Source organism: Homo sapiens, chromosome 2, assembly GCF_000001405.40.
Source record: "Homo sapiens chromosome 2, GRCh38.p14 Primary Assembly".
Taxonomy (NCBI): Eukaryota; Metazoa; Chordata; class Mammalia; order Primates; family Hominidae; genus Homo; species Homo sapiens.
The window spans coordinates 117,994,187-118,019,299 of NC_000002.12; the positions used below are offsets into that span (position 1 = coordinate 117,994,187).

The 25,113-nt window shown below is 43.7% G+C and overlaps 1 protein-coding gene and 1 pseudogene across 6 annotated transcripts in view, besides 2 other annotated features; one reads left to right on the forward strand and one right to left on the reverse strand.

The window, feature by feature from the left end:
• The window catches only part of CCDC93 (CCC complex scaffolding subunit CCDC93), a 98,590-nt gene extending 78,706 nt beyond the window's left edge, over positions 1–19,884 (reverse strand). For 4 of the 6 annotated variants that reach the window (XM_011511359.2, NM_019044.5, XM_006712600.3 and 1 more), the window contains exons 1-6: positions 19,768–19,884; positions 14,359–14,472; positions 12,536–12,630; positions 6,635–6,746; positions 2,078–2,176; positions 1,260–1,316 (exon numbers count right to left, since the gene is read on the reverse strand). In XM_011511359.2, coding sequence (XP_011509661.2) covers positions 1,260–1,316; positions 2,078–2,176; positions 6,635–6,746; positions 12,536–12,630; positions 14,359–14,472; positions 19,768–19,809 — 519 coding nt within the window. In that variant the 5' untranslated portion in view covers positions 19,810–19,884. Of the gene's footprint in view, positions 1–1,259; positions 1,317–2,077; positions 2,177–6,634; positions 6,747–10,514; positions 10,599–12,535; positions 12,631–14,358; positions 14,473–19,767 lie in introns of those variants that run through there. The other 2 variants (XM_011511361.1, XM_047444816.1) reach the window with 2 other exon arrangements.
• Positions 19,372–19,421: a silencer, noted in NCBI's record as "silent region_11894". NCBI's record gives its function as "represses an Ori minimal core promoter by ATAC-STARR-seq in GM12878 lymphoblastoid cells {active_cell/tissue: GM12878}" and the evidence as "EXISTENCE:reporter gene assay evidence [ECO:0000049][PMID:35858748]".
• Positions 19,892–20,091: a silencer, noted in NCBI's record as "silent region_11895". NCBI's record gives its function as "represses an Ori minimal core promoter by ATAC-STARR-seq in GM12878 lymphoblastoid cells {active_cell/tissue: GM12878}" and the evidence as "EXISTENCE:reporter gene assay evidence [ECO:0000049][PMID:35858748]".
• On the forward strand, positions 22,199–22,483 carry RN7SL111P (RNA, 7SL, cytoplasmic 111, pseudogene; annotated as a pseudogene).

The following is a 25,113-nucleotide window of genomic DNA, read 5'->3' on the forward strand; positions in this document are numbered from 1 at the left end:
TGTGAAATTAAGGTGAAAAATCAACTTTAATTTAATTCCCCTACATCTATCAATCTTTTTAAAAACTTGAGGATGCTCTAAACTGAACACCTATTTCACAACCAGGAAAGAAAATTACTCTGAGGTCATATCATTTTTTCTTGTTATTGTTTAATACTGCCACCAAATCTGAAAACAGTATCTGGCTTTTGAGTGTCACCTTCCCAAAGGTTTTCCACCTCTAACATTTCCAAAATGGAATTGAGAAAAAAAACAAATTACAACCATAAAGTGATCAAGATTTTTTGTTTCATAGGAGATTTCCATGTCTTTCATTACCAAATGATTGTTCTTTTCAGAGTAATCACCTTGGTAGACCACACATTTATTTTTAAGATAAGCCAGTTTGGAATTCTTTTTCTGGAAAGACTCTGTAGGCAGTTCACAAAGCCACAAACACCAGGCAATGCCAATCTTTACAATGACACAAGGTATGTAACCCATGCCATCTGTATAAGAAGTACATCTGATATTTCATTTGGGTGGCATATTAATACAAGAAACTATGCAACTATGAAAACCAACTAGATGTATGACATAATTTAGATGAAGTAAAAAGCATGCAAAACAACACAACACATTATTTTCAGGAGAGAGAGACTGTGCACACAGGCACCTAGGCTTCATTCCCTTCAGCTCAGGTAGGAAGGCTGGGGGTGGAGGGTACAGCTAACAAGGTTCCACAGCTCTGGCCCAGAGTGTTTTATAAAGGGTCAAAGGTTCCACTAACCCTTGTGCTGGCGAAGTTGGGACACATGTGCAGACTCATTGTGATTAAGACGTACTGTGAATGGGGACAAACGCCATCCCAGAGCTTCCCGCACACAGCTCAGAGGCTACTCTGTCTATGCAAAGCCATCAAGGGGGTGGGGGACAGAAACCTCAAGTTATCATCCCCATTCATCATCTGCTCTTCAGAGCTATTCAAAGTTTATACCTGCCATTGGGATAAACTAGGAAGGGCTCTGTGTTTGGCTATTCCTCCCTTAAAAGTGGAAGTGAGGGGACAGAACAGTAGTGTGGCAGGTTCTCCCTGTGCATACTGGTGTCCTGGCCCTGAGCAGTAAAGCAGGCGGGGCTTCCCTCACACAGCCATCTGAGTCTAGCTCCTAAGCGATCCCCGTAGATGGAAGCCTCAGGAGCAGCGCTTTTGTGATTTAACAAAGGGCTATCTGAGGCTACGCAGGACTCTGACAGAAGAATACGGCCAGGGGACTTACTGAGAGGTCCACAACTGTCTTGATGGCCTTTTCTTTTCTCTTTATGAAGTCATCATCCTACAAGACAAAACAGAGCGATTAAACAAATCCCAAGGGAAAATTAAAACTCAAGTGGACCACTCAGATATGTCTTATAAATTGACTTCTCATCTCATCACTACTTTGCCTGACGAAGTCTCAATTTTCGAACAAATTGTAATATATTCTCCATGGGAAAAGGCTACAAACCCTGCAGATGGCTCCAACATAGATCCCTACACAGCCAGTAAGAAAAAGGGGGTCATAAGGAATAGTGCTTAAGACGAGAGTTCTCATTTCAAATCCTCTTAAGCACTGAAACCTCAGGTAAGTTACTTAACCTCTAAGCCTCAGTTTCTCTGTCTATGAAACAGAGATAAAAACGCCCATCTCAGGTTGCAGTAAGGATTAAAGAATAAAAGCCATAAGATGTGCTGAGACTAGCATGTAGTAAATACATGATGGCTATTAGCTATTATTGTTTTTAATTATATTATTATTATTATTATTAAATTGTTACTATAGGATGTTCTGGGCAAGTGGCCTCTCAAAAAACTTAATACAAAAATCAACTATTATTCTTGTAAGTTAATAAAAGCTCTAGATCAAACACTAAAATTCAGAGAAGATGACAAAATTATAGAGCTTTGCACTCAGTGGCTATGTAAAGAAGCACTAATGATGCCAAGTGGGGCTGAGAATGTAGGGGAGCCTGAGCTTACTCTGCTCCTTGCTAGAGAGTCTCTTAAGTGTGCACTCTGTTTCTCAGTGGGACAAGAAAATAAAATCACAATACTGACCTCAGGGAGACTGTAAGTCTTCTGGAACTGGGATACAGAGTAGGAGCGGATATAGTCACCCATCTCTTCTTTTGTTTCTATAGCTCGTTTCACCAGCCACTGGGGAAGAAAGTGAAAAGACAAGAGTTGCTAAGGACAACATCCCACTGAAGTGAAGGCCAGTTCAGACATGGCCCAACTCATGAACTCAAATCAGCATAGTTGAACTGACTAGGTGATAAGAAGCTATCAACACATGCTGTTCTATAGGAAAAGCAACCAGCTGGGTATCCAAGATGTTAAGATCCAATGGGACCTAGTGCTGAGTAGCCGTGCAGGAGCTTTAAAGCCTTACTTCACATCCTTGAGCCTCAGTTTTCCTTTCTGTAAAAGTATATCAGTTCCCTTCACCTCACAGAGCTAACATGGGAGTAAATGAAATCACAAGTAGTAGAGTGATTTGTAAACACCTGAAGCACAAAACAAACAGAGCTATCTCCCAACTTCCTGGTCCTACTGGCAGATCTTCATGTAAATCTCTTTTTCTTGTGCTCCTTACACGACAGACCAGGGAAAAGGGAGAGAACCACAGAGAATGCTAGTGTAACTCCCCATTTGACAAGTGAAAAAATGTCCAAAATACTCAGATTTGACAATGGTGCATACTGAGTACGCAGTTGAAGGCACTGGTTTATCCTGACATTCATAACATTCTCTCTTAATCCTCACAATGTCGGATGGTACTGGCTGAGTTTTACTGAACCTGAAGTGCCGGGAGACTATATAACTTACTCATGGATCCATAGCTAGCCAGCTGCAAAGCTGGGAGTCACAACTCAAGAGACTATTCTACACCGAAGACTGGACAAATGGTTTCATGAAATGTTTCCCAGCTTTGTTAGGCTGATACCCAGAAACAGCTGCTCTTCACTTCTCCCAACTGAAAACTCCAGTTATTATCATTAAAACACCACCCTGCAGAAGATCCACCTGCAGAAGATCCACCCGCCCTGAGGGTAAAAACCTGCAGAAGATCCACCCGCTCTGAGGGTAAGGGTGTAAAGTGTAAAAAGAACCTTTGCTTCTCCTCCCCGGCTCTTCATTCACTCCCTTTATTACTGAAGAACATCACAGAAGGGGTGCCACTCCCTCTCCAGAGAAAGCTACTGCATCTCAAAAGCAGTTTTGGGATAGTAGCTGTGTTTCGCCAACAGCATATCACACTTGGTGAGGGTTAGCTACCTAGGAAAGCAGGCACATGGCACATAACACTGTGCTGCACGGTGTTCCCGCAGATGTTTGTTCACAAAGCGCAGCCAGCTCAAGTAAAGCACATGTTTAGGAAATAGCTGCTCAGAATAGAGCAAATAACTCTGAGGAATATTCCTTGCTGTCAGTATCTTCTATATATTTCTACCACTTCACCCCCAAACAGTGACCTCAGGCAAAGACTAAAATCCAGAAGCAGAGACAGAAGATCAGAGAGTATTGAGAACGATTGTAGTCCCTCACCTGTACTCCATCCCAGTAAAACTAAGTGGTCCAGGACAACTAAGGGCCAACTAAGGCAGTTGGCTCATTGCTCAACTCAATTCAGCCCTGCTTTCTTTTGAATTGGGAGACCCAGTTTCTGGCTTTTCACATCTGCTTCCCTTTCAGAGCTGCTCCCATTAATCCCAGATCTACCCTGAGTTACAGCCTGGCTGGATCCTGGAGAGCATGATCCCATTATGAAGGGAAAGCTTGTTGAGTCCTAACAGATGTTTTGGAGTTTCCAGCATGAAAGGCTATAGAGGGAAACTCTTGGACAGCCTAGCTCTGCCACAGGTTCCCTAGCACTCAAGAAAAATATTGACCTTCACAGGAGTCACATGTCCAACCCAGGAGAAAAAGATATGATCTAGAACTACCAGGGGCCAGAAATTAGATCTGCTTTTTTCTTGGCTGCATCCAGAGAAAGTTACTACAGCTTTGCTAAAATGGTGTGAACACGGATGATGGGCTTCTAGAATCACATAAGAGAAGTAGGTCAATGGCTTACAACTGCTGGCCAGTGATTATTCTTTCACGAGTGCCCGGGGGGAAAACAAAACAAACAAAAACAGGCAAAAGCTACAGGCACATGGTGAGTTTCATCATAGTTAAATGTATTTAATTTCAAGGACTGCTTTTTTTTGAGTTTGAGAATTAAATGGCCATTATTTTATGAAATGATAAAGCAAGATTGTAGTTATTTTTTAAAGTGTCCTTACCTGGAAAACTACAGGTGGCAACCCTAGGCCAATCTCCATTTTTGCTTTAAAATTTTACAGGTCCATGAAATTAAGAAATTGTAACCACTAGCCTGGGCCCTCCCATCCAGACAGACCCTCTAGCATTCCACTCACAATGGAGAACATTCAGACCTTCAAAACACCCAACTGACTGCAGAAGATCACTTCCAATTCTTCTCACAACCTGACTAGATTTTTTTGCCTCCAAAGTCCTAGTTAAAAACGGTCTAATCTCTAGAGATCCATGTTTTGGGGGAAAGGTAACAACTTCACAGTTTGATGATATTGGAGGTTTCAATAATAATCAACACAGGGCCCCAACTTCCTATTTTCATAAAAATGATCAGGTAGTGTCCCCTTGCATAAGAAAGACAGAAAGGCTAACAAACATACAAATAAATTTTAAGGTAAAGTCTTGGCCTCGAATTTACAAATTTCATGGAATTCGGCTTTGAAGTCTAGCAGAGGGGAAGACTCAACACATAACAGTAACAAACTATGTAACACTTAGAGAGCACTTACTAAAATGGTCAGTCTTTCAACTAAGTGCTTTAGACATACAACTAACTTAATTCTCATCCTATCAGGTAGGTGCTATTATTTATTTCTATTTAACAGACGGAAAGTTATTTACCCAAGGTCACACAGCTAGAAAGCGACCAACTTGAACCCAGGAGGTCTCCAGGGTCCATACTCTTGACCCTATATTTCAAAATCTTAACACAGAACTAGAGAACTTCTAGCTTCAAGGGCTGTGTAGCTTCCTTCTCAGCAGCTGCATGAATGGTGGAGTGGAAAAAGCACAGGCTTGGAGACAGAGTTTAGACTGGAACCTTTGTTTGTCCACTCTCCGCCCTTAAGCAAATCAATTACCTTCTCTCAGTCTCATTTTTCCCAAATGTAAGGAAATTACATTTCTCACTTTCCTCAAATGTAAGGGATTATAATAAACGCTTCAAAGAACTCTAATAGAGTCAGATGGGAAGTAGTGTTCACACAGCGGGCAACACACCTGAGTCCCTTTGCTCCTCCTCTTTCTAAGATGCCTAGAGGGGAAGAGAAGAACTGCACAGAATGCAGTTGTCCCAAGGAATCTGTGGTGGATGGGTTCCAGGACCCGCTAGATATTAATCCACAGATGCTCAAGTCCCTGATATAAAATGGCACAGTATTTGCATACAACCTAAACACATCCTCCCCTATATTTTAAATCATCTCTAAGGTTATAATACCTAATACAACGTAAATGCTATGTAAATAGTTATGTTATACTGTATTTTTAAATTTTTATTACTTTCTTTTTCCAGCTTGCTAAATTTATATTACTTTTTATTGTTGTATTGTTATTTTTTATTGTGTTTCCCCCCACCCACCCCCAAACATTTTTGATGCATTGTTTGTTGAATTTATGGATGTGGAGCTGCGAATATGGAGGGCCGGCTGTTTGGGAGCTGTACAGCACGAGCCACTTAATCATAGGGGTTTGGGAAACAGCTGGAGGCAAAGAGAAGTCTCTCCCTTAGGCATTTAGCCATACGGACTGAATATCTACAAATTGTAAGATGTTCTGGTAGGTACTGGAAACAAAGCAATAAGCAAGACAGCCATGCAGACTTGCTCTCATGCAGCTTAAGAGTCTAATGAGAGAAGCAGATAAACAATCACACACACATGGATACACATGATTATGAACTGCTGTAAGATTCTGGTGAAGGAAAGGAATGTGGCCGTAGGAGTGCATACCATAAAGGAACATGCTGTGGATTAGCGGATGAGGGAAGGCTTTCTTGAAGAGGTTTGGTGGAACTGAGATCTGAAGGGTTGAAGTAAGCCATATGAATTAAACAGGTAAGGAGAGAATGGAAGAGCATTCCAGCCCAAGGAACTAGCAACGCAAAAGCACTGTGACAGGTGGAAGAATAAACCTGGGGAAATCTGAATGAATGCCAGAGAGTGCTAGAACAAAAAGAACAAAGAAAAGCAAGGAATGAAATCAAGCTGGATAGGTCAAAAGGGAACAGAGCATACCAGGCTACAGAGTTCTGTTTTTACCAAAAAGGCAATGAAAAGTCAGATGAGAACATTCAAAGATCTTATCAGGTGACAGCATGAAACTAGAGTATATGCAGGACTGGCAATCTTCTGAAGATGACGACAACGAACACCACCATGTTCTGCTGTACCAAATCTAAGCCACACCCATTACATTCAGGATCCAGGACAGACGGACCCATTACAGGACAAGCCAGGCCCATCACAGGAATTCTGATGTTAAGAGGACAAGAAACCACACAGAGGCTCTCACCTGAACAACAGGAAATATGTGAATAAAATCCATCCCCTGGATCTGGTGGGGCTCCAGCTGGTGTGGGCATTTCATCCTTGGCAGGACCGAGACAATTTTTTCTGACAGAGCTCTGTTCAGAAAAAGTAACAAGCAAAGAGTGAGGCATACTAAGTAGCCTTTATGGCATCTCTAAAGTCTGGGCAGCATCACAGACGGATCTGGGACTTCTCCATGCCAGGCTAGTCCAGACCATGACAAGTTTCTCCTAGATGACTGCAAAATGAGAAAAATAAGCACAATTTGGTGGTGTGTAGGTGTGTGGTCACAAAACTGCCTTCATCCTTTATTCTATAATGTTTTTCTTCCTACTTTTTTGGATGTAAAATATTTTGTGAAATGATGGTAACATTAGAGGTAGTCGTTACTATTTTTTAACTTCCTTATGTAGTAAGATAAAAAGTTATTAGTGCCCCGTATTCTTTTTACATTTCGTTTTACTGATCTACTCTTTCTAACAGTTTGAAAAAAGTATTCTAAATATCAGGCAACAAATAATTACCAGACCTTACACCAGGTACCCAGAATATTAACATGAAACATGGAGCCCCATTTCCAAAAGAGATTTGGAGTTCTCTACTCTCTGGTACAAGGATATTTTTAAAATAAATAGTAGCCTTTAATTTTTTGATACTCTAAAATAAATTCTAGAGTTGAAGGAACTGTATATCCTCACTCTCATTTCCATACAGAAGAGATATTTTCTGCTTCTTATAAGGGACACCGACCTTTCTCTAACACCTCGCCTCAGTCTTCCTCCTATAGAAGACCACAAGGTGGGACTGAGAAGGGAGGAACCAGGCTTCCTGAGGCCTCAGAGTTTTCTTCTCTGTAGGTCAGGAGGAAAGCATCCTCTCCTGCTAGGGAGGTTTCTCAGCTCAGCCTGAGCTGGGGTAGGACAGTTTATGGCAGCACTGGTGGAGGGATTTGTATGCAAGTCTGTTTTATTGCAGCCTGAAACCTCCTTCTCGAATCAGTTGGCATTTCATCTCTAGCTATGTGATTCCTGTTTCTTATACTATCTTAATTGGATCAGACTCAAGGGGAGAGAAAAGATACTATTCAGTGGTGTGCCTGACCCCAAAGCCATGGTATGTAGCCTGGGAACATTGAGAAGCAGTCACCAGGCATGGCCTTGTGGACATCTGGAGAAATAGGAGCTTCTGGCTCAGCCTACATGAATAGGTTACATTGCCACACAAGACCCTTTAAAAAAAATCTTAGCCAGTCACAGCAGCTACTGTGGCCTTATAAACAAATACAGTACTATGTTCTAATAGACAAAGGTCCAGGTAAACAAAGGTCACTTAGAACTTACTAGGTGCTTCAAATTCAACAAGTTTTGGGTCTCCCAAAAGTGTTTCTTGTTCAGAGAAGTCTTGTCCACCTTTATCTTTCTGCAGTTCAATAATCCTTCCAAGGAGACAGATACCCTCAAGATGAACATCTGACTCAGGGCTGGGTGAGAGTTATTACTGTCTTATCTATGATTCACTTAGTAGGTTTCACCCCTCAGTCTTAGTATTAACAGTAACTAGGTGACCTAGGAACTAAAGTTAAAACAGCCCCCCAGGGAATGGGCACTAGAGAACACATTAAGAAACAGTGTCTGGTATCTGGAAAATAGCTTCACAAGTTGGGACCAAGGTTAAAACTGCTGAGGACAACAGTAATACCCCACTGATCATAAGATCAAATGTCAGATCCAATGTGTTAATAGAAAAAAATATGGAAGGGGGGAGATTAATCCCTCACTGCACACATTCATAGAAGAGAGGGAGTATCTTCCTCCTAGGAGGGAAGCATATAGGAGAATATTTGCTGCCTCTTCCCCCTCACCCTTCCTCCCTAACAGAGGAAGGGGTGAAGAGTGATTTATCCACAAGTCCTGAGAGGGGCCAGGCATGGTAGCTCATGCATGTAATCCTAGTGCTTTGGAAGGCCAAGGAGGGAGGTCACTTGAGGCCAGGAGTTTGAGACCAGCCTGGGCAACATAGTAAGACCTTGTCTGCATAAAAAAATTTAAAAATTAGCCAGGCATAATGGTGCATTCCTACAGTCCCAGCTACTCAAAAGACTAAGGCAGGAAGATCACTTAAGCCTAGGCGTTTGAGGCTGCAGAGAGCTAAGATCACGCCACAGCACCCTAGACCAGGCAAGAGTGGAACTCTGTCTCTTAAAACAAAACAAAACAAAAGTCCTGAGAGGAAGAAGAAAATTTTCATGCAGCTCTCAGCCACTCCTGGTGCCCTTCCTTTCTGGGCAGCCTGTCTTTGGGACACATGCATCTTTTCTGCCATAAGATATGTTGCCTGCCCCACAGGGGAAGCCAGTGGTTGTCCAGGTCTGCTTGGGACTCACATGGGATAGCTTGGTAGTGAAGCACTAACAAACCCATTTGGCAACATATCTAAGGTTCTCTGTTAAGCTTTTTTTAAAATTTTGATCTCCATCAGACTCTCATAGCTTATTTAATTTCCTTGAAACTTGTAAGAAGAGATGAGTGTTCAACTGGTACTGCTGCCTAAACTCCAAGCTTAGCAAATGAAAATGAATATCAGTTCTGGTTTTGCTCAATGCAGGTCCCAACTAACTATGCAGGGGCACGTGATCAATACAGCCTTTCCTTAGTTACATTTTGGTTCAGCAGGAGGAGAGCTCCCTCTTGTGGCTACAGATATATTGGTTTGCATAGAGTTACCAATTGCCTAGAACCATACATAATAGCTTAAAAACAAGAGGCTGGGACCCACACCACCATCCAGCCTAACCCCCTGCCTTCAGACATGGCATTTCCTGGCCACTCTTCGGAGCCAGCCTACTCACCCAGTTCATAAAGGTCCAGAGAGAAGGCTATCACGGGTCATCCTAGGATTTACAACCCTCTTAAACCCACCTCTCAGAAATTACTGCCAAGTCTGGACAGTCTTGGCAGCCAAGGTGAGGACATGGAGGAAAATGCAGGCAGGCTGGGGGTAGGGAAAGAAAGTGAGAAAGACTTCTTCCAGAAATCTAACAATCCCCTTTCAGCTTCTACCTGCGGCTCTAGGTGGATCCTTCAGATTTCCTAAAAATCACAGAAATTAGCAATTGCAGAGGTCACCAGGCCGGTTTCCTAGACTAAGATTTTAACATGCCCAGCTGTGACTAGTTTGACTCCTTTAGTTTTTAAGAGTGTTCAGTGCACTGCTTTCTTCTCCACTGCAAACAGCTTGAAAGACAGTGAATTAAACCTGGGTCTAAATTCAAGTTCCACCACAACTCTGAAACTTTTGGCAAGTAACTTGGTCCAGGTCCAATACTCCTATCATAAAACTAGGGATAATCCCTACTCAAAGCGGTAGTGAAGGTAAAATAATAAAATACACATGCAAGTGCTTGGAACACAGATGCCCAATAAAATGTTTGTTGTTGAAATGAACTCAGTTATAAATGTAAAATCCCATTTATGGGCCTCTGGCCATAGGACCCTCTGTTAATGGGGCTTCAGAAGAAGATAGAAGTAGAGGATAGAAGCTTATGGAACTCTCAGCAAAGAAAGATGACAGAGAACAAGGCCTCAATTGGGCACATAAAGAAGACAGCTTGAGAGACAACCATGCCGTCAATAGGCAAGTGTGCTCCTTGGACATACGTCCAGCCCACCCATTAAATTGACTAGATATACTGGAAGACGGCAAACATAAGGCAGTTTTAGTCTAAACTGCACCTAACCAGAAACTCTATGGTGGGGGGGAACACCAAACAGAACACATTCCAAAACCAAACAGAAAAGATTTTTAGATGACTCAGTACCCTGTGGCTGTAACATGTCTTCTACAGATAATAAAGAATGAGCTACCTGATGCACTGCTGACTCTGGTGGGTCCTTAGTCACGTAAACCCGTCTCCAGCTTTGCCCACAGTTACAGTTCATGGCTCTGCACTTAAGAGACACACATCAAGCACTTACCAGGGAATATAACACATCCTCAATCCCTTATCCAAACCCTTTGGGTCAGATGTGTTTCAGAATTCTGAATTTTTTAGATTTAGTTCCTTAGAATACCTAAGGGATACATATTATATATTATGTAAGAACCCAGGAAAATCTAGAGTCACACTCTATAATAAAAAAAAATTTATTTAGCAAAACTTATAAATAGTCACATAAGTGGGATCAATAAAGCTATAAATTCAGTCAATTCAGGTTATGTTTTGCTCCCAAATAAGCTTTGTATCTAAACCTAAAAGAAGAAAAAACAGTTTTCAGTGTCTTTTAGATTTCAGAAATATAGACAAGGAATTGAGAAGACATAGAAAAATACTGTGTTCCCATATCTATTAAAAGTATAATGGAATGCTGCCACTGATGGGAGTCTACCATATTCCCTAAGGATATCGAAATGAAAACAGGGCCTAACGACCACTGGAAAACTCAAGGGGAATTTAGGAAAAAAGCACACGTGGGATCCAAGAAATGGTAAAACTAGCACAGAAAAAATGCAATGAAAAGAAATACCAGCACATCAAGAGTGCCACAGGTATAGGAAGCAATCAGCTCAAAGACAGAAGCTTCCAAGAAAAGCATCCTCAAGAAGACAAAGAATTCATGCTAATGAACAGCCTGATTAAGAAGCATAGGCCAGGTGCGGTGGCTCACACCTCTAATCCCAGGAGGCCAAGGCGAGAGGATTGCCTGAGCCCAGGAGTTTTAAGACCAGCCTGGACAAGATGGTGAGACACCATCCCTACAAAAAATTTAAAAATTAGCTGGGCGTGGTGGTGTATGCCTGTGGCTCTAGCTACACAGGAAGCTGAGGTAAGAGGATCACTTAAGGAAGTCGAGGCTGCAGTGAGTGGTGTTGGCACCACTGCACTCCAGCATGGGTGATAAGAGTGAGACTCTGTCTCAAAAAAAAAAAAAAAGCTGGCTGATCTGAGCTACAGCTAAAGGCATATGCTTCTTTTGTCAACAAGAAAAAAACAAAGGCAATTAGAAACTTACAGGGAAAATGCTGTATAAATATAAAGTAAATTGCAACATTCCTGATGCTCAGTTACTCACAGATACCACCTCCACTTGGCTGCCAGAAACACAGGGGCAAATCTTTGGCCAACAGTAGGAAAACAAAGCATTTTGTGACCCATCACTGTGGCAGTCTTACCCCAACTCTGCCTTTTGTCCCCACTTTTTTTTCCCCCTTTGCTCCATTTTCCCACCATTATTGCTTCCTGTTATTTATAAGACCCCTTTGTTCCTTTTGGAAGTGTTTTCTCTTGGGAGAAGGTAATACTTCAGAAAAATGAATAAACAGACTGTCACAGAATCACACATATCTGAGGTCAGGAATCTCTCTTCTGACGGATAAAAGAACTGAGGCCCACAGAAGGAGTGGCTGTTCCAAGGCCACACAGAGACCCACTGGAAGGCTGGGAGAAGAACCAGGTATCCCAAGTGGTCTAATGAAATGGCCAAGCCCCTGGTGAGCTGCTGTGCTACAAAAGACTGGGCAGGGTATGCTCAGGTGAGATCTCTAGCAAGGAGACCATGCTGCTTTCTCTCGAAGACAGGCAAAGTGAGACTCTGCCTTACACAGAGGCAATGGGGAAGGAAAGCATCTCCTTTCCTCTTTCTAATCAACTTCCACTGATATGAGCTGTCTTTGAAAGATAAACTAAGTAGTCACTACAAACTTTGATCTAGCTGTGTGACCTTGGCTTCTTTCAGTCTCAGTTTCATTTGTAAGGCAGGGATAATACCTCTTGTAATAAAAGTTAAAATAAACTATGTAAAGTGTCCAACCAACTTCTGGCACACAGTAGACACTCAAAAGTTAGTTCCCTTCTCCCCACCTTTAGGTTTTCCATAGAAAAACTTACATTTTTTGACCTATCGTAGAGTTTTCTTGAAAGAGCAAATCAACATCTACATCAAAGTTGCAAGTGGTGATACACCAAGTCATTCCTCCTACTACCTGCAAGACATAAAGAAAATATTTGTTTTCTCTTTTTAGTTTGGGGAGAATGGAAGAAGTGGAAGGTAGATGGATTATAAATAGCTCTAATAGACTCAGTAAACATACAAAATTATATATCTTGAGAGAGAGAGTGTGTGTCCTCCTTACCCCATCAAGTACAATTAATCTAAAATGGCACCGTTACAGAAAACTTTCTGCAGTGACAGAAATATTCCGTTATCTGCAAGGACAAGTACAGTAGCTACTAGCCACATGTGGCTGCTGAGCAGTTGAAATGTGGCTGGCATGACTGAGGAGCTGACTTTTATTATTAAATGAACATACTGTACATAGATCCTCTTTATAGTCAAAAGGACAGACATTAATTCTGTGTTTTATAGACCAGACACATGGGCAGCAAGGCTGACATTTTGTTTCCATACATCTTATTTTTCTTATCTACCTGAGAATCCCTGGCTCTACTTTTCCCTCAGGAATTCTCTGAGATGCAAATGAGAGTAAGACTAAAAACCCATTTTGAAACAAAATCCTTTTCAGACACAGCTTGATATTAGAAAAAAATAACAATAAGGCTGGGCGCGGTGGCTCACGCCTGTAATCCCAGCACTTTGGGAGGCTGAGGCGGGTGGATCACGAGGTCAGGAGTTTGAGACCAGCCTGGCCAACGCAGTGAAACCCCTCTCTACTAAAGATGCAAAAATTAGTCGGGCATGGTGGCAGGCACCTGTAATCCCAGCTACTCGGGAGGCTGAGGCAGGAGAATCACTTGCATCCCGGAGGCAGAGGTTGCAGTGAGCCAAGATTGAGCCATTGCACTCCAGCCTGGGCAGCAGAGAGACTCCATCTCAAACAAACAAACAAACAACAACAACAAAAACAGTAAATCTTACCCCTGGCTGCTTTAGACTCTTACAAGTTGCCCAATAAAAATGCAGATTCCAGGGCCCAAGCCCAGACCTAGCTAACCAAAATTTCAATGAGTGAATCCTGGGTTCTGTATTATAAAATAACCCAGAGTGATTCTGTTAGGCACAGCCAGGACTGTGACCCCGTGGAGCACTCAGCACTGTCTTCCACAGCCTGCCCTGTGTGATTTGAATGCGTCCTTTCTGTGCACAGTCCACGGTGGCACTTTCTGCATCATGCCATTTATTCTGTGCATGTTGATTCACTTGTCTCTCATCCCCACTCTACAGAAATTGGGCTCTTTGAGAACTGTGCCTCTGTTTTTTCTCTGTGTCCTCAACACCTATTACTATGATTTGTGCATCATCATTCAAGGTTCTGCTGAATTAAAAGATTTCATTGCATAGCGATCTCTCTCTCATCCTAAATCAGAGCATTTACTATCCGCAGAATATCTGGCAACCGTCTGTGAGCACGCTGACTTGGGATAGCTCATTATTAACTCTGATTATTTTATTTTCCATAAGTTTTATAATCCCCACCCAAACTGTAAATTCCTTGAAAGAAGGAACTATTTATTTTGCTTCTTTGCATTTCCTAAAGCTTTGTGCACAGAAAAGGAACTGACGTATTCACTGATACATCATTTCTGTCTTTGAAAAGAAGTTTGAACACTTCCATAATGAATCTGAATTAGGAAGAAATGGAAACACAGACATGGAAGAAGTTAAAACATCATCTTTTCCTCCTTTCTTTGCCATGATTAACCATGTCATTCTGACAAAAGATAGTGTAATGGTTAGAAAGATTTCCCCTTACCTTGTCAAAGGGTGATAAGCCTTTAATTCTTGCCCTGAAATACCCAGCTGCAACCAAGAGCTCCAGAATTTCAGTCAACTTGACATTTTGTTCTTCATCTTCTCTTGTTTCCACCTAAAATAAAAGGTAAAACTTTGGCTGGTAAAAGATATGCTGAATAAAGGAACACCAGGTATATCCCCTGATGCCACAAGCTCATTGCCAAGGAGTAGATGACATTGGCTACATCACCACAATAGATTCTCTGAAAATTCAGCAAGTGTCACACAGAAGTATGTGGACAGTGTTGTTGGAGTCACAAATGGGTCCGCGGTCCTCAACGGGCTGTTAATCTTCATAGCTGAGGGAGACACATGCCCAAGTAGTATATACTACTCATCACATGCTGAAGGAATCCAGGGAAAAGGAAGGTTAGAGCACAATACTTCCTTTTTCTCTAACCCATGGTTTACTTTGACAGTCTTCTCAAATGGATTATGACTCCTTACAAACAGGAACAAGGTTTTATGGTGTTTTCTAAAAAAAACTTTACACTTAGGACTTAGGGCCGGCGTGGGGGCTCACACCTGTAATCCCAGCACTTTGGGAGGCTGAGGCGGGCGGATCACTTGAGGTCAGGAGTTCAAGACCAGCCTGGCCAACATGGTGAAACGCTATCTCAACTAAAAATACAAAACTTAGCCAGGTTTGGTGGCCCATGCTTGCAATCCCAGATACTCAGGAGACTGAGGCACAAGAATCGCTTGAACCCAGGAGACAGAAGTTGCAGTGAGCCAAGATCGTACCACCGTACTCCAGCCTGGACGACAGAGCAAGACTCTGTCTCAAAAACTTTATACTTGGCCAGGCACAGTGGCTCAGGCTTCTAATCCCACCGATTTAGGAGGCCAAGTGGGGGTGCCGATCACTTGAGGTCAGGAGTTTGAGACCAGCCTGGCCAACATGGCAAAACCCCACCTCTACTAAAAATACAAAAAATTAGCTGAGCATGGTGGTGCACACCTGTAACTCCAGCTACTTGGGAGGCTGAGGCACGAGAATCACTTGAACCCAGGAGGCGGGGGTTGCAGTGAGGTGAGACTGTGCCATTGCACTCCAGCCTTGGTAACAGAGCAAGACTCTATCTCTAAAAAACAAACAAACAAAAAAAGTTATACTCATCCAGAAGTTACTGACAACAGGCATAGAAATGAAGAAGGGAATTCAAAAGTGCATCCCTCACTGTACTTCCCTTTTCGATCTCGAAAACAAATATATGAAAGGCTTCCAACCCAGATACATTAAAGGGTGATTATTGCCACATAATAGGATTGCCTTAAAAATAATAAATTCATCTAATATATGTATATCAGTATTTTGCTTTTTTTTTGTTTTTTTGTTGCTTTTGTTTTTGTTTTTGAGACAGAGTCTCGCTCTGTCACCCTGGCTGGAGCACGGTGGCGCAATCTCGGCTCACTGTACTCGGATCCCAGAGAGAACCTCCACCTCCTAGGTTCAAGCGATTCTCCTGCCTCAGCTTCCCGAGTTGCTGGGACTACAGGCACATGCCACCACGCCCGTTTTTTTGTTTGTTTGTTTGTTTTTGTATTTTTAGTAGAGATGGGGTTTCACCGTGTTAGCCAGGATAGTTTCGATCTCCTGACCTCATGATCCACCCGCCTCAGCCTCCCAAAGTGCTGGGATTACAGGCATGAGCCATCGCGCCTGGCCGTATCTCAGCATTTTGATTTAAAATTTTTAATTTATATCCTCCTTTTACCCCAATCTTTATCTAATACTTAAATCCATCTAAATATTCTAATACTCTTTCATCTATTTACTATCATGAACTACCTTTCCTCTCTTCCTTTGCTACCAAAAATAAAAAACCATCTCTCTATATAAAACACCAATAAGATATCCTGGTTCACATGCTCATAATCATCTCTGAGTCCTCCCTTACCCAACAATGCCTGTTAAGTCTTCCTTTACTATGCATCTCACATTTATCTTCCCTTCCCTTTCATTCATACTTCATTCCAGAACTCTTGCAAATGCTTCTTCATCTTTCTTCCTTTAATTTGTTTTGCTCATCCCTTCCTAAATCACAGCTTTCATGTTATCCCTCTTTAGCTCACCCTCCCAGCCCTTATCAACAATGCACCACACACACTGCCTGTAAGATAAACTCCAGATGTCTGGTTTCACATTCAGATCTTTGGCCACCAAACTATCTTTTCAGGTTCATCCTTTAACTACCCCAAAAACAATCAAGACAAGGCCATGGCTATATTCTCTAACCACTGAGAAATCACTTTCAAATTCCAGCTCCCATGCAACACCATCCCTCACAAGTCTATCCTGAAATGGCCACTCTCCTCAGCATTTCTGTACATATAACTAAGTATCAACTATATACTGTACATATAACTAAGTATCAACCTCTTCAAAGTGAGATATCTAGTGTTATACACATGCTTGTCTTTGCAACTGGACTACTGATTGATTAACGAGAGGACTATATATTATATACTTGGGTTTACTCCTCTGAATCCAAACAACATTAAGCTCCAAGGACACACTTATTAAATAAAGAATGATCTACTAATGCTTACATAAAGTAAGTGAACCTAAACCAGTCATGTATTAATAAAATGTTTCAGTGATCACATCCCTGACAATGGAAAGTTTATTTTGATGTATAAACTGCCAGGAAAGGGAGTATACATATTAAAATATAGTTAATACAGAATTATTAAAGTGACTGATAATCCCCTGCAATAGAGTAGGAGTGGCGTGGGGGAGGTGACAGCACTGAGCTACATCCGTCTCTGAAATGACCCTGGTCCAGTCCATTAAGGATCCTGAAGATCAGCATTCACTAGTTCCTAGTGGACATAAAAATTTTCTTAAGTAATATAAATAATTCACACCTTCTCTCCCTTCTGCAAAAAATCTGGGATGGTTGAGAAACGTCTACAAGTGAAAACACTCTAAGAAAAGAGAAGCTAAAGAGTAGTTGTAGTTCAAGTCAGCAGAAAAAGAAAATGAGATAATATAAGTACTTTCTTAAAACTTCTGGGGTGTAAAACAGGAACACTTCATTTGTTCAATCATTTATTATGAAAACATGAGAAGAAGACAAAAAAAACCAAAAAAAAATAGGATCATCACTGCCTCAACACCTATCTAATGGACACCCACTGGCCACCCCACCACAGATGCAGGGCCCAGGCTTCCATCCACTCACCCCTAGCATGGAGAAGTTTACTTTTGCAATATAACTTGTGAAGTAATTTTGGCACAAGACACTAAATGGGAATGTATGACTCCAAATTCACTTAGCAGATTAACACTGAAATCAAATGGAAAAGGGCCACTGTCTGATCTGCTGGGAATGAAAGACCCTCTCTTGAAGCAATAAAAATCCACCAGGCTGGTTAATACATCCAGTTGTTGAAGCTAAATTTCTGACAAAGACAAACAACAATGAGCTCTTACACAAAGCCCAATAAACTTTCAATTTCCGTCCACTATAGTTGTTGTAAGCTGGAAGGCAGGCCAAGTCTAGCTATCTTTGTAAAGGGTTAAAAAGAATGAATTCGGGCAGGGCAGTGGCTCACATCTGCAATCCCAGCTACTGGGAAGCCTGAGGCATAAGAATTGCTTGAACCTGGGAGGCAGAGGTTGCAATGAACCGAGCTCACGCCATTGCACTCCAGCCTCGGTGACAGAGTGAGACTCTGTCTCAAAAAAAAAAAAAAGAATGAATTTAATGAATTAACTGGTCTAGTGACATCCTAATAACACAGACTATCCATATTTATATTTACTAGCTTCTGAACTAAATGATGATAAGTTATTGCTTGACCTGGTGAGTGTGGCCTCTTAGCAGTCAGTGAAAGTTTAAACGAAGGACATACAGCAGCAGGTTGCTCTTCATTAATTAATTTATTTATTTTCCCCCCAGAAAGACCTCCACTGATAGTACTGTGGAATATTGGGTTGGACGGATTTAAAGTAGAACGTGGGAGACCAGACAGAAGTCTACAGCAAAAGGCCAGGCAAAAACTTGATGAGAGCCTAGAATACAGAAGTGGCAAAAAAGAAAACTTCAAATGTCACAGTACAAATCCTATTGTTCACTATCCTGGGTCCCATCCCAGGCAACGTGCATGTAAGATTTTACCTAATACAGGGGTTCTGACAACATTATGCTTGTCAGGTTTTCTTAAGACAACAAAATGGACTTGCATTCGGGGAGCACACACTGACAAACAAATCTGTCCTTTCAGACTATATATATTCCCAGCTTCTGGACACAGAACACAGTGATCCCTCAATTAGTGGATACTTGTGATATGAAAGAACTGAGGATTTGGGAGGAATGCAGAGGAGTAACATTGGTCACTGGCAGGTAAGTGTGAAGGGACGACTCACCACGTCAAGCAAGCAGTCACCCTGCCCAATGCCTGCTCCAGAACCTTAGGAAAAAGGCAGAGGTGCGGCGTGGCTTCCATTTCTCTCCAGAATCCAGTAAACTAGACTAGCCTTTGAGTAAAATCAACTGAAAGGGACGACAGATGCAAACTACCTATGAGATGCTAAGTGGTATTTGCAGCCAAAAGAAAATGAATACACTTTCCCTGTATTCCCAGCAAACGTGGAAATCCGCAAACCACTCATGACCCCCTCCCTAGCACTAAGTGAGTACTTAACAAACACCTTTGGAAAAGAACCCCGCCCTCTTCTGGAGAAGCCGCAGCCTTTCCGCCCAGAGCCGGGTCCCCCGCCACACAGCACCCCTGGAGTGCGTCCCACCCCGAACGCCCCGGCGCGCTGACCCAGCGGGACACCTCCCTGGTGCGCGCAAGTCTCCCAAACTTCCTCCCGCCGCCCCGGCCCGGGTCCACGCAAGGAGGGTGGCATTCCCTCCCGACAGCAAGGCGGGTGGGGCGGGCCGCCGGGACTCTGCGGGGTGGCGGTAGACGTCCCAAGGTCACCACCCGAGCCCGAACCGCCTCGGAGAGCGGTCTCGTGACTCCAGCGCCCAGCAGCCTCGGCCCTCGGGGCTAGCCCTGCGGCGCGGGGTGGGGGAGCCCGTCCCGGACAGGGAGAAAGGTGGGAGCCCAGGACCCCGCGGCGCGTGGGGCTGCGTCAGAGCAGGTGTCGGGCTAGGAAGGCCACCTGCGCCCCAAGAGACCCGGGAGCGGCTTAAGTTTGTCCTCACCCGCCCGCCGCCCCCTGCCCATGCAGGGGTACCTGCTCCCCGCCTCCAAGAAGAGGGTCGGCGCTTCCCTGAGGTGGATACGCCTGAGGAAGGGGGCGGGGCGCCCCTAACGCACCCAGGGCCCGCTCAGCCCGCCGCCCCGCGGCTCGGCCCTCTCTTCAGGAACCCCGACGTGTCAGGGAAGGAGGAGGCGTTCTTACCTCCGGGAGACCCTGGCCCTCCGGCCCCCTGGGCAACCCCATGATCCGACCGGGCTGTCGTAAGGCGAGAGCGAAGCCCGCCAAGCGTCCGGAGGAAGCTGTCCCTGCCGCGGAGCTGCTACCGGGGTGGAGTACAAAGCGGAAACTCCCTCTGCCGCCGCCGCCGCCGCCGCCGCCGCCTGCCCGAAGCGCCGCAGCCGGGCAGAGCATGCGCGCTGGGGCCGGAGCGCGGCGCCACTGCGCCTGCGCCACAGCAGCCCGGGGAGAGGTGGGCTGGGCTGCAGGTCCTGGCGTTGTGCTGGATCATCGCGCCCGTACTCTGAAGTTTTCTCCGTGGCGCTCTTTGAGAGGGGTTCCTCCTGCATCTTGAGAATATTTTGCATTTCGGCTCCCTTCTCTTCTCGCTGCCATCGGATGCCCCAAATAGGTCCTGTCCCCTCGGTGAATCAGACTTCGGAAACCGCCTCGCTTCAGGGTCAGAGTCCAAGTACAGATGAGCTTGAGGATTCTGAATGCACGCCCGGCTCTAGACCTTACAGACACACGCTTGGACAGACTTCTCCATATACGACCCAGGAACGGACCCCTTGAGAAGGGATTCTTCAAGCCCGCTGCCCTCTCCAGCGTCCTGGCCAGTGGCATCGCGTTCCCAGGAAACCTCGCTTCAGATATTGCCCACCACCCCGCCCTATTCACGGTTCCTGGGTCTTCCTGGAGGAATGACATCTCAGAGAATGCGGACTCCTATGTTCATGTCATTTGAGCCGCCGCGTCCCTTATTTGATGTACCCCTTGTTGGTCCCGGAGGATGGCAACTAGACAAAAGGTCACAGGCCCCCACACCCGCTCCATAACGGCTTCTTGGCTTTTTGTTTCTTTTAAGCAATGAGGAAAGAGATGACTTTCGTGAAAACTTTTGCTGGAGAAGAGATCCTTCCCTCTGTATATGTGTGTGGGATGGGAAGTGTCAGACTCAGACCTTTAGTTCCTTGAGATCAAAAAGGTTTCGTGTTTGCTTTCGTCTCTTCTTTGCATCCCTAGCGTCTTTAAAAGAGTAGGCAGGCGCGGTGGCACATGCCTGTAATCCCAGCACTTTGGGGGTCGAGGCGGGAGTATCACTTGAACCTAGGAGTTGGAGACCAACCTGGGCAACATAGTGAGACCTCCATCTCTACAAAAAATAAGAAAATTAGCCCGGTGCCAGTGGTCCCAGCTAGCCGGTAGGCTGAGGTGGGAGAATTGCTTGAGCCAGGAAGGTTGAGGTTGCAGTGAGCTATGATAACACCACTGCACTCCTGCTTGGGTGACAGAGCAAGACCCTGTCTAAAAACTATATATATATACGTGTATATATATATATGTGTGTATATATATATACGTGTATATATGTGTGTATATATATACGTGTATATATATATGATGTTTTCTATTTTATTTTATTTTTGCACCTTTTGTACTCCTCCTGGAGTTCATCCTGACAGACAGAGGTTTGTCTGGAGCCAGAGCTCACAAATAGTTGGAACTGCCCTAAGGATGCCATTTTGTTCTTAAATATAACTAGCAAATATTACTCAAAGCTGTGCACGATCCCCAAACCCTGGTCCCCAATAATTTGAATAATCTGAATATGCAAGTTAAGGTATTGAGATGGGAACCCTCCTGTGTGGTATATCTTGCTCTTATCCTTTGTGAAGCCAATAAACTTCAATTTCTACTCTCATAACTTCCCAAATGTGTTGTTTTTGTAGTTTTAAAACTGTCATTCACTGAAATGGTATAGGTTGATGGGGAATGGAGAGTGATAATAATTTGTGGCCACTGTTGAGTGACCAGACAGGTACTGATGCCTAGGAACAGGTAGTAAGATCTCACATAGCAGGCAAGCCTAAACAGCTGTATATAATAGCAGCCTGGAGAATAACAGGACTCAGGCCACACCCTGAGTTCCCTGTTATAATGCTTTTGCAATGTTTTAAATAAGCATGAGTAGCTAACTTCCTCAGTAAGAAACTGTCCTTCCCGAGCGCGGTGGCTCATGTCTGTAATCCCAGCACTTTGAGAGGCCGAGGCGGGTGGATCACCTGAGATTGGGAGTTCGAGACCAGCCTGACCAACATGGAGAAATGCCGTCTCTACTAAAAATACAAAATTAGCCGGGCGTGGCAGCGCATGCCTGTAATCCCAGCTACTTGGTAGGCTGAGGCAGGAGAATCACTTGAACTGGGAAGGCGGAGGTTGCGGTGAGCTGAGATTGTGCCACTGCACTCCAGCCTGGGCAACAAGAGTGAAACTCTGTCTAAAAAAAAAAAAAGAAACTGTCCTATGTTACAACAGGTGTAGAGTGACAGTAACAGAGTTGAGGGGCATGGGGCATGCTTAAAAAAAAAAATCTCAGCAAAACAGCCATAATATCGTCAAGAAAGTTTGAACAGGGCTAGGTGGCACCTGCTTATGTCCCAGCAACTCGGGAGGCTGAGGCAGGAAAATCGCTTGAGCCCAGGAGTTCTGGGCTTTAGTAAGCTATGCCAATCAGAGATCTGCACTAAGTTTGGTATCAATACAGTGACCTCCAGGGAGCAAGGTTGCCTAAGGAGTGGTGAACTGGCCCAGGTCAGAAACAGAGCAGGTTAAAACTTCTGTGCTGATCAGTAGTGGGATCATGACCATGAATAGCCACTGCACTTAAGCCTGGGCAATATAGCAAGACACTGTCTCTTAAAAAAGAAAAAGAAAGTTTAAGCAGCCCATATTTGAGAGCAGAAACCCTTCACAGTCTTGAAGAAGACCTTTAACAGCCAATGCAGACAAGGAGGCTTGTGAGGAATCTCTCAGATCAATCCATCTCTCTCCCTTTCCCTTCACTCCAGGCACCCTCACAAATTGTGTCTCCCAAGTGTGATATCTGAGGACTAGAAATCAGTCATTCTGTCTCTCTTCTGTACACTGAGTACAGAGTTGTGTGATGTTCCTCTTTGGAGCCTCACAAATACTTTCCAGTTCGTGGGTAAAGAGGTACCATAGTGATATAGTTTGGATATTTGTCCCACCCAGATCTCATGTCAAAATGTAATAGCCAGTGTTGGAGGTGGGGCCTGGTGGGAGGTGATTGGCTCGTTGGGGTGGATTTTTTGTGAATGGTTTAGCAACATCCTCTTGGTGCTGTCTTCCTGACACTGAGTCACTCATCACGAGATCTGGCTGTTTAAAAGTGTGGCACTTATCCTCTCTAGCTCTTGCTTTCACCATGTGACATGCCTGCTCTCCTTTCACCTTCCACCATGATTGTAATCTTCCTAAAGCCTCCCCAGAAGCCAAGCAGATGCCGGCGCCATGCTTTCTGTAAAGCCTGTAGAACTGTGAGTTAATTAAACCTCTTCTTTATAAATTACCCAGTCTCAGGTATTTCTTTATAGCAATGGGAGAATGGCCTAATACACATAGTAAAGAGCTTCCTGTTAGGCTTAGCTTTGTTCTGGAGGAAGTTTTCTTTCTTTTTTTTCTTTTTTTTTTTTTTTGAGACGGAGTCTCGCTCTGTCACCCAGGCTGGAGTGCAGTGGTGCGATCTCGGCTCACTGCAAGCTCCGCCTCCCGGGTTCACGCCATTCTCCTGCCTCAGCCTCCCGAGTAGCTGGGACTACAGGCGCCCGCCACCACGCCCGGCTAATTTTTTGTATTTCTACTAGAGGCGGGGTTTCACTGTGTTAGCCAGGATGGTCTCGATCTCCTGACCTCGTGATCCGCCCACCTCGGCCTTCCAAAGTGCTAGGATTCCAGGCGTGAGCCACCGCTCCCAGCCGGAAGTTTTCTATAAAGCTTTAATTATTCTGTCTTCAGGCTTCTCTCATTCCTTCTACATGTAGTGCAACAATGGGTGTTCAGTAAAGTAGAGTGACACAGCGAGGTCACACAGCACATTAGAGGGAGTGCTAGAACCAGAGCCCCAAATTTCTCATTCCCCATGTTCTTTTGCTCACCCATCCAACCATCCATCCATCCATCCATCCATCCAACAAATATTGCTGAGTTTCTTCTATGTCAGTAGCTCTCAAACTTGGCTGCACATTGGAATCACCTGGATTCCACCCTTAGCAATCCTGATTTAATTGGGCTAGGGAGAGGCATGAATATTGAATTTTTTGCCTTGGAACATATTGTTTTATATACAACACAGTAGTGAATAGTGACTTCATTATGGATTTGTTTCTTTATAGATCACAGTGGCATATAAAATTCAAAATCCATAAACAAAGAGCTCTTAGGTTAAATGAGTTCTTCCTAAAAATTCTTAATGGCATGCTGGTCTATTCTCAAGCGGTACAATTTTATAATGCACCATCCTATATTTAGCATGTCACATTTCTACAGTAACATAATGGAGGCACAGGCAGTGCAAGCAGATTTAAACCCCTTCTACTTCTGGACTGAAGGTTAGAAAAACACAGCGTGTACACACACACACTTGGATGAGTTCTTCCAATACGTTTTCCCCCAAAAATGATAGTTTTATCAAAGAATTTCAATAACTTTCATAGTTTGTACAACCACACTCTATTAGCTACATTAAAAAGGATTCAACAAGGGGCCAACTACACAGTAGTAAATAAACATGTTTGAGAATATCTGCTACATTCTCTATCTCCTGGAGAAAATAATATTTACATTTTTTTGTAAAGTGATTTAATAACTAAACAATTCTTTCTTTTGGTCGGGGGTAGGTAATGGGATTTTCAAAGCTTCACAGGTGATTCCAATAAGCAGTCAATTTGAGAAGAGTTTCTCTGTGCCAGAAACTGTTCCTGATGCTGCAGATACTGCAGTCAACACACCAAACAAGATAATTACTGACAGAAATTAAACATGTAATTAATAAGATAATATCAGGTAGAAATAGGTGCTATTAAAGGGGGGAAAAACAGTGTAGTTTGGGTGTGGTGGCTCACACCTGTAATCCCAGCACTTTGGGAGGCTGAGGCAGGCAGATTGCTTGAGCCCAGGAGTTCAAGACCAGCCTGGGAAACATGGCAAAAACCTGTCTCTACAATTAACAACAACAACAACAAAAAAAACAAAAACCAAAAAACAAGCAATGACAACTACAACAACAACAATTAAAAAAAACCAGTGTAATGCAATAAAGAATAGCTAGAGTCAGAGTCACTTTTAGATGAAGGGGCCAGGATTAGGCTTTGCAGTGCCATTTGAGAGAGACCTAAATCCCAAAAGGACACCATAGAAGGGCCTCAGGGGAAAGCATTGCTGGCAGAAGGAGCATCTGAGGTGTTCTGGACAGTTTCCCATTACCCTTCCAGTCCTGCTCTCAGTCCTCTCCTTGTTTGTTTCAGCACA